General features: G+C 40.5%; 1 protein-coding gene across 1 annotated transcript; it reads left to right on the top strand.

Moving 5' to 3' along the window:
* The first annotated feature begins 1,247 nt into the window (after positions 1–1,247).
* Positions 1,248–4,971, top strand: MSL3B (MSL complex subunit 3B). Its single transcript, NM_001425333.1, has 2 exons — positions 1,248–1,307; positions 2,284–4,971. The coding sequence occupies exon 2, from the start codon at positions 2,439–2,441 to the stop codon at positions 3,507–3,509; it is 1,071 nt and encodes a 356-aa protein (NP_001412262.1). The 5' UTR covers positions 1,248–1,307; positions 2,284–2,438; the 3' UTR covers positions 3,510–4,971.
* Positions 4,972–12,669: the final 7,698 nt, after the last annotated feature.

Genomic DNA, 12,669 nt, shown 5'->3' with positions numbered 1-12,669 from the left:
TAATTCTAATGAAAATGCCAAAAGAGTTTCTGTAAAACTAACAAACTGGTAATAAGATGTATATGGAAAAATCAAAGGTCAACCATAGCCATAACACAGCTAAGGAAAACGAACAAGGAGAGAAGAGTTACCCAGCTAGATAGTTATTATAACACTGTGATTAGGTGCAAAGGTAGAAAAAAAAGGACCAGTGAAATACAATATAGAATCTAGAGACAGGCCAATGTACACATAGAAGAGATACAGTTCAGGGGTGGCATTATAGAACAGTGAGGAAAGGATAAATTATTCAATAAATGTTACTAAGACAATTTGTTATCCACATTAAGGAAAAGAGAATTGGCCTTCTACCTTAAAGCAAATACAAAAATCAGTTCCAGTGGATTAAAAGTTTAAACGTGAGAGGTAAGTTTTATAACCACGGAACATAAAATGATTTCTTAAATAAGACACCAAAAGTGCCTATCATAAAGGAGAAAAATACAAATTTTACTTCAATTTTGCACTGGGAATATTAGCAAAAACACAATACTAAGTGTTGGCAAGAGCATAAGAACTCAAACACCAACATGAGTGACATTTTATTGTTATTCTTTATATGTTATGCATGCCACAAAAGGTTTTGTATGTATTGCATATTTAATTTTAAAATTAAATATAAAATGATTTTTTTCTTGACAAATGAAATGCTTCTAGTATTTATCATTAAGCAAAATGTTAGGACTATAAATTTTAATTATTTTAATATTCAATATCTCTTGGTAGTATACTTAGGATTTTTAAAGTAGGGAATAATATTAAATTTATCTTGCAAGTAGAAATAGTAATAAAAACTTCTAAATAATGCTTGTATCAAAGAAGGAAACAAAAGGAAAATCACGAACTGGTACTCAGAGAATAGACAGCCTTAAATGCATTTATTAGCAAACAAAAGTAAATGGAAGTAAATTCATTATGCTTTCAATTCAAGAAACGATTTTAGAACAGTTTAACCTAAGTTAAAAGGAACAAAATAATACAGTCAAGAAATTAAAGAAAATAAAAACAAAAACGTGATCAAGAAACATTAAGCGCTGGTTCCTTTAAAAGACCAGTAAAACAGATAAAGTTCAACAACATAATTAATTAAAGAGAGACAAGGGATACATAAATAAATAGCATTAGAAATCAAATGGGGCTTCCGCCCGGCATGCCGGACCGCGCATGCGCCGTCGGCAGCGTCGCGCGCGCCCTGTCGCGCAGCCGGCGCTACGTGTGCGCCCGGGACGCGGACGCAAGCCGCCGACGGAGGAGGCCTTTTAACTACGGTGGGTTTCTCTCTTCGCGTTAAATCTCCCCTGCCGTGCAGCCTGGTGCCGCGTAGGCTCCCGTGGGACGCTCCCGTCGGACGCCGTCCGACCTAGATTGTTAATGTTATTGTTGGGAAAGGCGAAAAAGGCAGAAAGATCCCAGAATAGCTGATCCGTTGTAACGGTTGGAACTGAAGCTGGGATAGATGGGTAGCCGAAGATCATGTGCTTCGTGAGCCCAGTGAAAATCGTAGATTGGCCAGGTGCGGTGCCTCACGCCTGTTTCCCAGCATTTTGGGAGGCGGAGGCGGGTGGATCACGAGGTCAGGAGTTTGAGACCAGCCTGGCCAACATGGCGAAACTCTGTCTCTACTAAAAATACAAAAAGTGGTTGGGCGTGGTGGCGGGCGCCTGTAATCCCAGCTATTTGTGAGGCTGAGGCAGGAGAATCGTTTCAACCCGGGAGGCGGAGGTTGCAGTGAGCCGAGATCGCCATTGCACTCTAGCCTGGGCGGCAGGGTGAGACTCTGTCTCAAAAAAAAAAAAAAAAAAAAATCGTAGATTAGGGTCTGGGCGCGGTGGCTCACTCCTGTAATCCCAGCACTTTAGGAGGCCGAGGTGGGCGGATCACTTGAGGTCAGGAGTTTGAGACCCGCCTGGCCAACATGGTGAAACCCCGTCTCTGCTAAAAATACAAAACAATTAGCAGGACATGGTGGTGGGCGCCTATAATCCCAGCTACTCTGGAGGCTGAGGCAGGAGAATCACTTGAACCCGGGAGGCGGAGGTTGCAGTGTGCTGAGACCGCGCCACCGCACTCCATCCTGGGCAACAATACCGAAACTCTTGTCACAAAAAAAAGAAAGAAAGAAAGAAAGAAATTCGTAGATTACAGCATAAATTGGCAAGAAATGCTGTAGCTCACCTGAGGAGCAAGAGAGAAAGAAGCAGCCGCTCCAGGTTGCTTGGTGCTGACTCTGTCTTTTTTTAAAAGGCCTCTCCATCGAAGAAAAAAATGAAAATGATGAAAACTCATTAAGCAGTTCCTCTGACAGTAGTGAAGACAAGGATGAAAAAATAAGTGAAGAATGTGATATTGAAGAAAAGACTGAAGTGAAAGAAGAACCGGAGCTTCAAACAAAAAGGGAAATGGAAGAAAGAACAGTAACTCTAGAAATCCCTGAAGTTCTGAAGAGGCAGCTGGAGGATGATTGTTACTACATTAATCGGAGGAAACGGTTAGTGCAACTTCCATGCCACACCAACATCATAACGATTTTGGAATCCTATGTGAAGCATTTTGCTATCAGTGCAGCCTTTTCAGCCAATGAGAGGCCTCGTCACCATCACGCTATGCCACATGCCAGCATGAACGTGCCTTATATCCCAGCAGAAAAGAATATTGACCTTTGTAAGGAGATGGTGGATGGATTAAGAATAACCTTTGATTACACTCTCCCGTTGGTTTTACTCTATCCCTATGAACAAGCTCAGTATAAAAAGGTGACTGCATCTAAGGTTTTTCTTGCAATTAAGGAAAGTGCCACAAATACTAATAGGAGCCAGGAGAAGCTCTCTCCCAGCTTACGTTTGTTGAATCCATCCAGGCCGCAGTCTACAGAGAGTCAGTCGACCAGCGGTGAACCAGCCACCCCTAAAAGGCGCAAAGCCGAGCCGCAAGCAGTGCAGTCTCTGAGGCGGTCCTCGCCCCACACCGCCAACTGTGACAGGCTTTCTAAGAGCAGCACCTCACCTCAGCCCAAGCGCTGGCAGCAGGACATGTCCACCAGTGTGCCCAAGCTGTTCCTGCACCTGGAAAAGAAGACACCTGTGCATAGCAGATCATCTTCACCTACTCTGACTCCTAGCCAGGAAGGGAGTCCTGTGTTTGCTGGCTTTGAAGGGAGAAGAACTAATGAAATAAATGAGGTCCTCTCCTGGAAGCTCGTACCTGACAATTACCCACCAGGTGACCAGCCACCTCCACCCTCTTACATTTACGGGGCGCAACATTTGCTGCGATTGTTTGTCAAACTTCCAGAAATTCTTGGAAAAATGTCCTTTACTGAGAAGAATCTGAAGGCTTTATTGAAGCACTTTGATCTCTTTGTGAGGTTTTTAGCAGAATACCACGATGACTTCTTCCCAGAGTCAGCTTACGTCGCTGCCTCTGAGGTGCATTACAGCACCAGGAACCCCCAGGCAGTCAATAAGTGTTGATGGTTCTGTAAGAACAACTGCTCCATCTAGCATGGTGTTCTGAGTTCCAGGTAAAAAATTAACAAGGTGGTGGGTTTTTATCCAGAGCACAAAACAAAGTGCCCACCAGGGGGCTTTGACAGAGGTGTGCCCTGTTGTTTGAGTTCCCCATGTACTGTAGTTACTCTGTTTAGAATTATTTCCTAGGTGCCTGAAAGTGTTCTGACATGACACTTGCTACTTTGTAGGCCATCTGTGATGGCAGGTAAAAAGCAACTGTTCACAGTGAAATGTTCATGGAAGTGTACATAGGTTAGGCCATTTCAGCAGACATTGCAGTTAGTCAGCAAGAACCACATTGTTTCGTTATTTGTTAGCATTAAACAAAATTTTTTTTGCAAATTGGTTTCATTCTCTTGATGAAGCTGAGCAACTGTCCAACAAGGTTTAGTTTGTACTTGAAAACTGCAAAGTAGTCTCAAAGTATTTTAGAGGGAATCCATATTGATGGCAAAAGAAAATTTGCAGCTATAATTTGCTTCTGACGGTTCCTTCTCTGTGAAACATTATTTTTGGTGATCTAAAGAAAGCATTGCCTTTCTTGTTTGCAATTTTACAGCTATACTTTTTTGTGTAATGTTACGGTTCCCTTTCTGTAAAATGTTCTTTTTGGTGATCTAAATAAAGCCTCTCTTGTTTGAAAAAAAAATTAACTTGGAGTCATAACTACAGATATAATGACGATTGGAATATAAGAGAATGCTACGTATTCATTTAAACCAGTAAATTTGAAAGTCTTGACAAAAATGATTACTTAGGAAAATATATATTATATAAACTGGCTCCCCCTGAAAAAGTAGGTATTCCTCATTGTGGCACCTGACAGCCCCAAAGGTAGAAATTAAAACTAACCCACATATTTATTGCACACTATGCTGACATTTTAATGTAAATTTTAGACCACATAAGATTTAGTCTTTAGAGTCAGAAATTCCTTAGGTGCTAGCCCACAAATTGCTACATAAGAGAAAACAGAAAAGATTTCACTTTCTGTGATCCTAATAGAAAGCCCACAGAGACATATCTTCCCACTGTGGCTTCAGTAGCATCAAATAGGAAAGTGATAATACTGTGAGAGAATGACGTGCCACCCACAATATCTGAAGTACAAAGACAAAGCTGGATGTATTTTTGGTTAGTTAATTTGAGCAAAACCCGTAAGTGTCCAGATGGATTCTTCCTAGATTATCATAATTCTCTTGCATGTCCATGAAAGGATAAGGTATGTCACAAGGCTAAGAGCTTGAACTGTGCTAGTCCAAATTGAGACGTGCTCTAAGTGTGAGGTTAGAGCACTGGAGTTTGAAGACTTAATATGTAAAAATAAATGTAACATATCTCATTAATAATTTTCAGCATTGGTTAAATGTCGAACTGACAATATTTTAGATACATTGGGTTAAATAAAATGTTTTTAAAATAACTTCACCTATTTCTTTTTACTTTTAAAAAATGTTAATATTTTAAAAACTTAAAATGACCAATGTGTCTCACATATTTTTAATGGACAGTGATGCTCTTAAAAGTATTACCTCTATGGCATGGCATATGTCAAAAACTCATGGTCTTTTTTAGCTATTCTTTGATCCAATATCCAAGGCTTAGCTTCATGTATCCAAGCAGTTACAGGCCTCTACTAAATTAGTCAAAGCATCTTTTGGTCTTGTACTAGGATTACCTTTAAATCTGATGTTAATATATGCAGCAAATCCCTACTGTTAATAGAAACCACCCAACATTTTTTCTGCCGTTTACTAATTTGATTGTTACTCTTTCCCTCACATATTACCATATTCCTATGTACACACTCAGTCTGGCAGCCTTCTGTTACTCTTATCCAATGAAGGAGAAGCTCGTACTTGTGTTCCATTCACTCAAAAAGTATCTATGCCCATAACCAATCTTTGGATAGTCTAAAACAAAATCCCAATTTAATGGTTTTTTCATGTTATCTTAAAAATGAATAAAAAGAGATGATACCAGGAAGTCTAGGTGATAATTACTTTTCTTGCCCAATACTAGGCTTTACTAGAGAGCTGAATTTTATAATACAACTCTCCTAAGCTTTTGCTTGTGCAGCCAATTTGAAGGACAATTTGAAGTGAACTTAAGGATGAGTTGCCTTCCCAACTCTTAGAAAGACCCAAATAATAGCCATTTCTATAATTAAGGCTACTAATGTGAATTTAATCAAGCTACATAAAGCCAGTTTAAATTCCTCAGCCCAAATAGTAGCTATGCATAATAGAATAAGCTTGGATTTTTTTTTTTTTTTTTTTTTTGAGAAGGAGTCTCGCTCTGTTGCCCAGGGTGGAGTGCAGTGGTGCCATCTCCGCTCACTACAAGCTCTGCCTCCTGGGTTCACGCCATTCTCCTGCCTCAGCCTCCCCAGTAGCTGGGACTACAGGCGCCCGCCACCGCGCCCAGCTAATTTTTTGTATTTTTAGTAGAGACGGGGTTTCACCATGCTAGCCAGGATGGTCTCGATCTCCTGACTTCGTGATTCACCCACCTCAGCCTCCCGAAGTGCTGGGATTACAGGCATGAGCCACCGCGCCCGGCCAGCTTGGATTTTATTTGGGCCAATTAAGAGAGAGTCTAGGCTGTCGCTAATAATACTTCCTGCTATCTGGAGTAATTCTATAATACTTCCTGTATAATACTTCCTGTATCTAGAGTAATTCTATGTGACTTGGTCCAATCTATGTCAAAGCTAAAAGAAAGGCAAGGTGAGCTTCTCACCAAGTTGTTGAAAATTCTTTTCTTAGGAAATCTCCCAATCCCTTCTTAAAATAATATTCCTAAGTTTGTTTGTTTTGTTTGTTTGTTTGTTTTGAGATGGAGTCTCACACTGTTGCCCAGGTTGGAGTGCAGTAGTGTGTTCTCAGCTCACTGCAACCTCCATCTCCCAGGTTCAAGCAATTCTCCTGCCTCAGCCTTCCCCAATGGCTGGGATTACAGGTGTGTGCCACCACGCCCAGCTAATTTTTTTGTATTTCTAATGGAGATGGGGTCACCATGTTGGCCTGGCTGGTCTTGAACTCCTGACCTCAAATGATCCACCCATCTTGGCCTCCCAAAGTGTTGGAATTACAGGCGTGAGCCACCACGCCCAGCCTATATGTTTTTTTTTTTTAATCTCACAATTGTTTGAGATCTGTTGTTAGAGTCTTAAATGATTTTGTGCAGCTACTGTCCTGACAGATGATTCAATGAAATATTCAAAGATGAAATAAGAATGAAATTCTGCTGATCAATGTTCAAACTGAAAATACGATCTTTGCAAATGAAACCTCCTCTTCAGAAAGAATCATTTATAGTGGTAAAGAGGTGAATAATTTTTTTGATTCTTTCTTGTAACTTTGGCTGAATGAGGACAAAAAGAGGAGACTGAGAAGAAAAAGGGTTCCATGGACCTCTCCAAGGACTCAGCAGTCTCACATGAGTACCCACACTTACACAGACTGCACCAGCCCCTGACACCACTGAAACTCCACGAATCCTGAACGCCACACTCTTCAAAACTCCACCTACTGTCAGCAGAACAGATTAGCATTTGAATAGGCAGGCCAAGGAAAGAAAATCACCCTCACCAATGTGGGGGGGGCATGGCCTAATCTGTTGAGAACCCCTGAATAGGACAAAAAGGTAGAGGAAGAGTGAGTTTGCTTTCTTCTTGAGCTGGGATATCCATCTTCTGCCTTCAGACATCAGAGGTCCTGGTTCTTGAACGGAACCACACCACCACCTTTCCTGGACCTCCAGCTTGCAGACGGCAGATGATGGGACTTCTTGGCCTCCATAAACACATGAACCCATCCCTCAAAATAAATGTCTTTCTATCTATCTATCTATCTATCTATCTATCTTCTATCTATCTATATCATATTGGTTTTGTTTCTCTAGAGAACTCTGGCTGATATGTAGAGATTGTTCCCTAAAGAAAAAAAAAAAGTATTCATCTGATGAAGACACCATGTTGGAATTTAGGAAAGGGCTTAGGATTGTTAGAAATTTCCACTACCTGGATGGTTTTAGTAAGTCGAGACAGACAAAGTTTATTTGCCCTCAAGGCTTCTACAATTTATTGCATACCTCAAGTTTGTCTCTTTGACAATCTGGCACAATAAGACATTTTTAGTTTAAAACCAAATTTCTCATTTTTCTCTTCTTGCTTTTGGTCAATGTGCCTTCCTTATTCTTTTCAGACAACTTTAAAATTTGATTCTGAAGGGGTGATGTTCTATGGAAGTAGGATTTATTGTAGATACAGGGCCATGCATATCAAAAGAGGAACTATGTCATTGTCCATCTGTAAACAATTCTCCTCAGAAGATTAGAGAAAGGACAAGGAACTTGGGGGTGCTAATAGCTCCCCAAGAGTAGCACCCTCAGTAGACGGCATTGGCTTTTCCAATGTCTTTCTCCTCAAAATCTACAGGTGTCCTTATTTATAACCTCATGATTCTTAGAGACTACAGAGGCTCTTAGAGTCTTGTTTTTATTTGGGGGACCAGTTGTTTCATTTATAGAGCTGTATATTTATTTTTATTTCTAGCTTCTTTTTTTCCTATGGCTCAGTTACTTATCAGAAAATGTTACCTTCTAAATTCATGATTTTCTATATATATATTTTCATTTATGGCTCCTAATTAAAATCAGAGTCCATTTTCAGCTGTTGATCCTACCCTAGAATAATGTTCAAAAGATTCCTGGAATCCAATTTTTAAATCTAGTGTTTATTTTATGAAAATTTTCATCTTTGTCCAATTTACTTTTTAAGAGACAGATTTCTAAAATGTGTTTAATGAGCTTCCTTCTTTTTGTCTCTAAGAATTAATTATTTTTTAATTTTCAGATGGATTATTTAAATCTTTTTCCTAACCCCTTGTTTTCAACTACTTTCCCCATTTGAGGGGCTAAAATGAAGTGAACTAGTCTGTACACATCTAGTCATTCATGAAAATAGTACATAACAAAGATCCTATTGCACATATCTGTCCATCTTCCTGAAGTATAAGAAAATATTTATAGCATTGCTATGGACTGAATTGTGTCCCCCCAAAATTTATATGTTGAAGCCCTAACGCACAAGTGACTATATTTGGAAGTAGGGCCTTTAAGTATATAATTAATGTAAAATAAGGTCATAAGGATGGAGCTCTGATCCAATAGGGTTAGTGTCCTTATAAGAAGAGATACCAGAGGGCTTGCTCTCTCTCACACAGTGTCTCCCCACATGCACAAAAAAGAGGTCATGTGAGCACATGGCCACCTGCAAGCCAAGACAAGAGGCTTCAGAATGAAACCTACCTTGCTAGCACCTTGATCTTGGACTTCCCAGCCTCCAGAACTGTAAGAAATAAATTTCTATTGTTTATAAGCTGGTTAGTCTATGGTATCCTGTTAATAGCAGCCTGTACAGATTGTCTTTGACTCAGCTCTAAATTAGGTTTTAAATTCAATGTCTATATATCTGCCTTCTGATCTTGCACATTTACATGAATGTTCCTTTCCTGAGAAATCCCAAGGCAATACTAACTCATTTAGAAGATTGGAGGAAGGAATAAAAAGACTAGAAGGGGTACAAGTTAAAAGTTGCTTAGATCCAAACAGGGTGGGTTTCAGAAGGTTAGTGTCCTTGGACAACTTGTGTTTTCAGCTCCACCACACCAAATAAAGAAGCTGACTATTGAAAGATTGGTGTGTTTGCCTCCCAGTTTTTCTAGAGTGCCTCCTAAAATATGATTTGATTTTGACACAGCAAACTTTCCTTAAAATGGCCATCTTTTTTGCCATCTTTTGCCTTTTACCTAAAAGAATGCAAGAGTAAGGATCATAATGAGACTATAGATAGAAAGAAGAATTTCTGCAGGAGTTTGAAAATTTGATACAGACAAATCCACGTAAGGAAGATGGGTCACTACAGTCGACTGTGCTACAGTGCGCGCTCATGAGTGGTGTCAGAAGTTAGACCAAGCAGAAGCTAGAAATCAACGAGGCTGCCAATGACCCAACAATTGTTTGACCTAAAATATAGACTGAGCAAAGAGGTCTTCTTCCACAAGTTGACAAAAGTATAAATGTCATTATGAAGGTTTTGTAGGGTGCCCAAGGCTAAGTTCGACTAATTGCCTTTTCACATAATTGTCACAGGTCTAAGGAACCTCTAACCATTTGTCTTCAAGACTGGATTAGATTGAAGCAGAAAATAATCAACATATATGCATCTGTCTTTCGTGGAACACTCCCTTATGCGATCAATAAACACAAGATAATCCAGGACAAAACAAAGACAGTTGAAATAAGACTGCCTACACACACACACACACACACACACACACACACACAGCAAGCAGCAGGAGAATAAGCAAAGGTATTTACTAAATCTTTTATCCCCAAACCATAAGGTCTAATGATCTTATAGAAATACCTAGATCTAATTACTTTGATTATAAATCCTAGGGTAACAAATTCAGCAATGAAAGCTCAATGAAACTATCAAGAACTCAGTGTTGAGGCTGGCTTACCTGGCAGCAGATATGAAGGATAAATGGAGTTTGGCAAAGAGGCCCAGTGAGTATACCTGTTGGCCTGAGAATGCCCTAGAATGCTTCTAAGGGAGAGTCCTTGAAACGACCTCAGTAGAAACTTTGGATTTGCCGTAGAATGATAAGACCACCCTTAATATCTGAACTGAAAAGACAAAGCTGAATATATTGCTACCAACTATGTGTTGTACCTGCTGTACAATAGCAGCTTTAGAATGTTTGGGGCCATTGTCTTATTTGGATAAATGGCCCCTGATTTTGCAAAGCCAAGGTAAAAACACATGAGGGGTGCTGTGGTTTAAATGTGTCCCCCAGAAACATGTATTGGAAATTTAATCTCCAATGCAACAGAGTTGGGAGGTGAGGCCTAATGAGAGGTGATTAGGCCATATGGCAGAGGGAATGGACTAATGCCATTATTATGGAAATGATCACAGGAGTGGGTTTCTCATAAAAGAATGAGTTTGAAGGCTGGGCACAGTGGCTGTAATCCCAGCACTTTGTGAGGCTGAGGTGGGTGGATTACTTGAGGTCAGGAGTTTGAGACCAGCCTGGCCAAACCCATCTCTACTAAAAATACAAAAAATTAGCTAGGTGTGGTGGCACGCACCAGTAATCTCAGCTACTCAGGAGGCTGAGGCAGGAGAATCACTTGAACCCAGGAGGCAGAGGTTGCAGTGAGCTGAGATCATGCCATTGTACTCCACCTGGGTCACAGGGCAAGACTGTCTCAAAAAAAAAAAAAAAGAATGAGTTTGGCTCCCTTTTGCTCTCTCTTGCCCTCTCTTGTTCTCCTACTTTACACCATGAGATGGCACAGCAAGAAGACCATCGCCAGAGGCCAATCACTCAGACCCTCACCACAGGCCAATCACTCAGTCTGGCTGGGACTCACCAGTCTTCAGATCTGTGAGAAATAAATTTCTGTTCATTATAAATTACAGGTTCATTACTCTCAGGTTTTATTATAGCAGCACAAAATGAACTAAGATAATTGGCCCCCTGTGTTTTCTAATTACATCAGTAATGCAAACTCATAATTGCACAGCAAACGCTCATTCTAGAAAATGCAGCTATGGAAAACTAATATTAAAAATAATTCATCACACCATCATCCAGAGACGGCCCTGGAAACATTCTGAGACGTATATACTCACACTTTTAAAACATGTATAATCATACTTTATATTATATAATATATACTTTTTAAATGCACACATAATACAGGTTTATAACCTTTTTGTATTAAACAGATCATATAGAATTTTGATATCAATAATTACACTTCTTCAAAATTCTTGCCAATAGAACACAAGTATCTATCATCATTTATTTTGCCATCCTTCTAGTATTGGACTTTATAAACTGCTTCACGAAAGATCCTCCAGCTAAATTCTTGCCAGCATCCTTAATTACTTCAGTTAGATGTGAGACTCATTCAATCAAACAACACATTTTGTGAGCTTTGGCTGACATCTCGTGGAAAGTCAGCTTGTTGCCTATTTCACAGCCTCTGTGTTTGCATCAGCTCTAGGGCAACAGAAAAAAGCAAACCCTTTTCTTAGCAGCCTAATAGGTGGGGTCTGATGTTTGCGATAATTTATCTTAGACTGACATTCTCACCGTTACACAGCAGTTTCTGTGTCAATGCTGGGACCAGCCAAAAGCTGCGCTTCTCCAACCACAGACTGGTGGTAACATTTCCACACCTTTCCAACAGAAACATATTTACATGACAACTCCATGCAGAATAAGTCTCCATCTCTTTTATTTGAAGCAAAATTCAGGCACATTTTATAAGAGCAGCCGTAATATAACTTTAAAGAGAACTATTTCCTAGGCATTTAAACAGCACTTGGAGGGTTGGAAATCCCAGCCCGGCCAGTAGAGGGCACTGTGCAGGGGCAGCCGGAGCCACCCGCCGTCATCTCTGGAAACCCTGTGAGATTCCAAGATGCTGCACCCAGAAACCTGCTGCTGGGGAAGGAGCTGACTTGTGATCCTTCCCTGTTATGTGGGAGTGGAAAGTGGTGGCAAAGGAGTTTGCTTAGCAGGTCTGGAGTAATATGGTTAGGCTGCCAAGGGTGGTAGGGTGAGGTGTTACAGAGAATGGCATTAAGGGAGGAGACCACTCCTCATATTGCCTTATGCTCAATTTCTGCCTCTAAAGAAAGAAGTAAAAACTAAAAGGCAGGAATGAAATCCACAAGCAGACAGCCTGGCGCCACACCCTGGGCCTGGTAGTTAAAGATCGACCCCTGACCTACTCGGTTATGTTATCTATAGATTACAGACATTGTATAGAAAAGCACTGTGAAAATCCCTGTCCCGTTCTGTTCCATTCTAATTACTGATGCATGCAGCCCCCAGTCACTTACCCCCTGCTTGCTCAATCGATCACGACCCTCTCACATGGACCTCCTTAGAGTTGTGAGCCCTTAAAAGGGACAGGAATTGCTCACTCGGGAGAGCTCGGTTGTTGGAGACGTGAGTCTTGCCGAAGCTCCCAGCTGAATAAAGCCCTTCCTTCTTTAACTCGGTGTCTGAGGGGTTTTGTCTGCGGCTTGTCC

The sequence above is a fragment of the Homo sapiens genome, chromosome 2 (assembly GCF_000001405.40).
Source record: "Homo sapiens chromosome 2, GRCh38.p14 Primary Assembly".
Classification (NCBI taxonomy): domain Eukaryota; kingdom Metazoa; phylum Chordata; class Mammalia; order Primates; family Hominidae; genus Homo; species Homo sapiens.
Note: the sequence above shows the minus strand (reverse complement) of the source record. Positions and strands in the feature narration are given on the sequence as shown.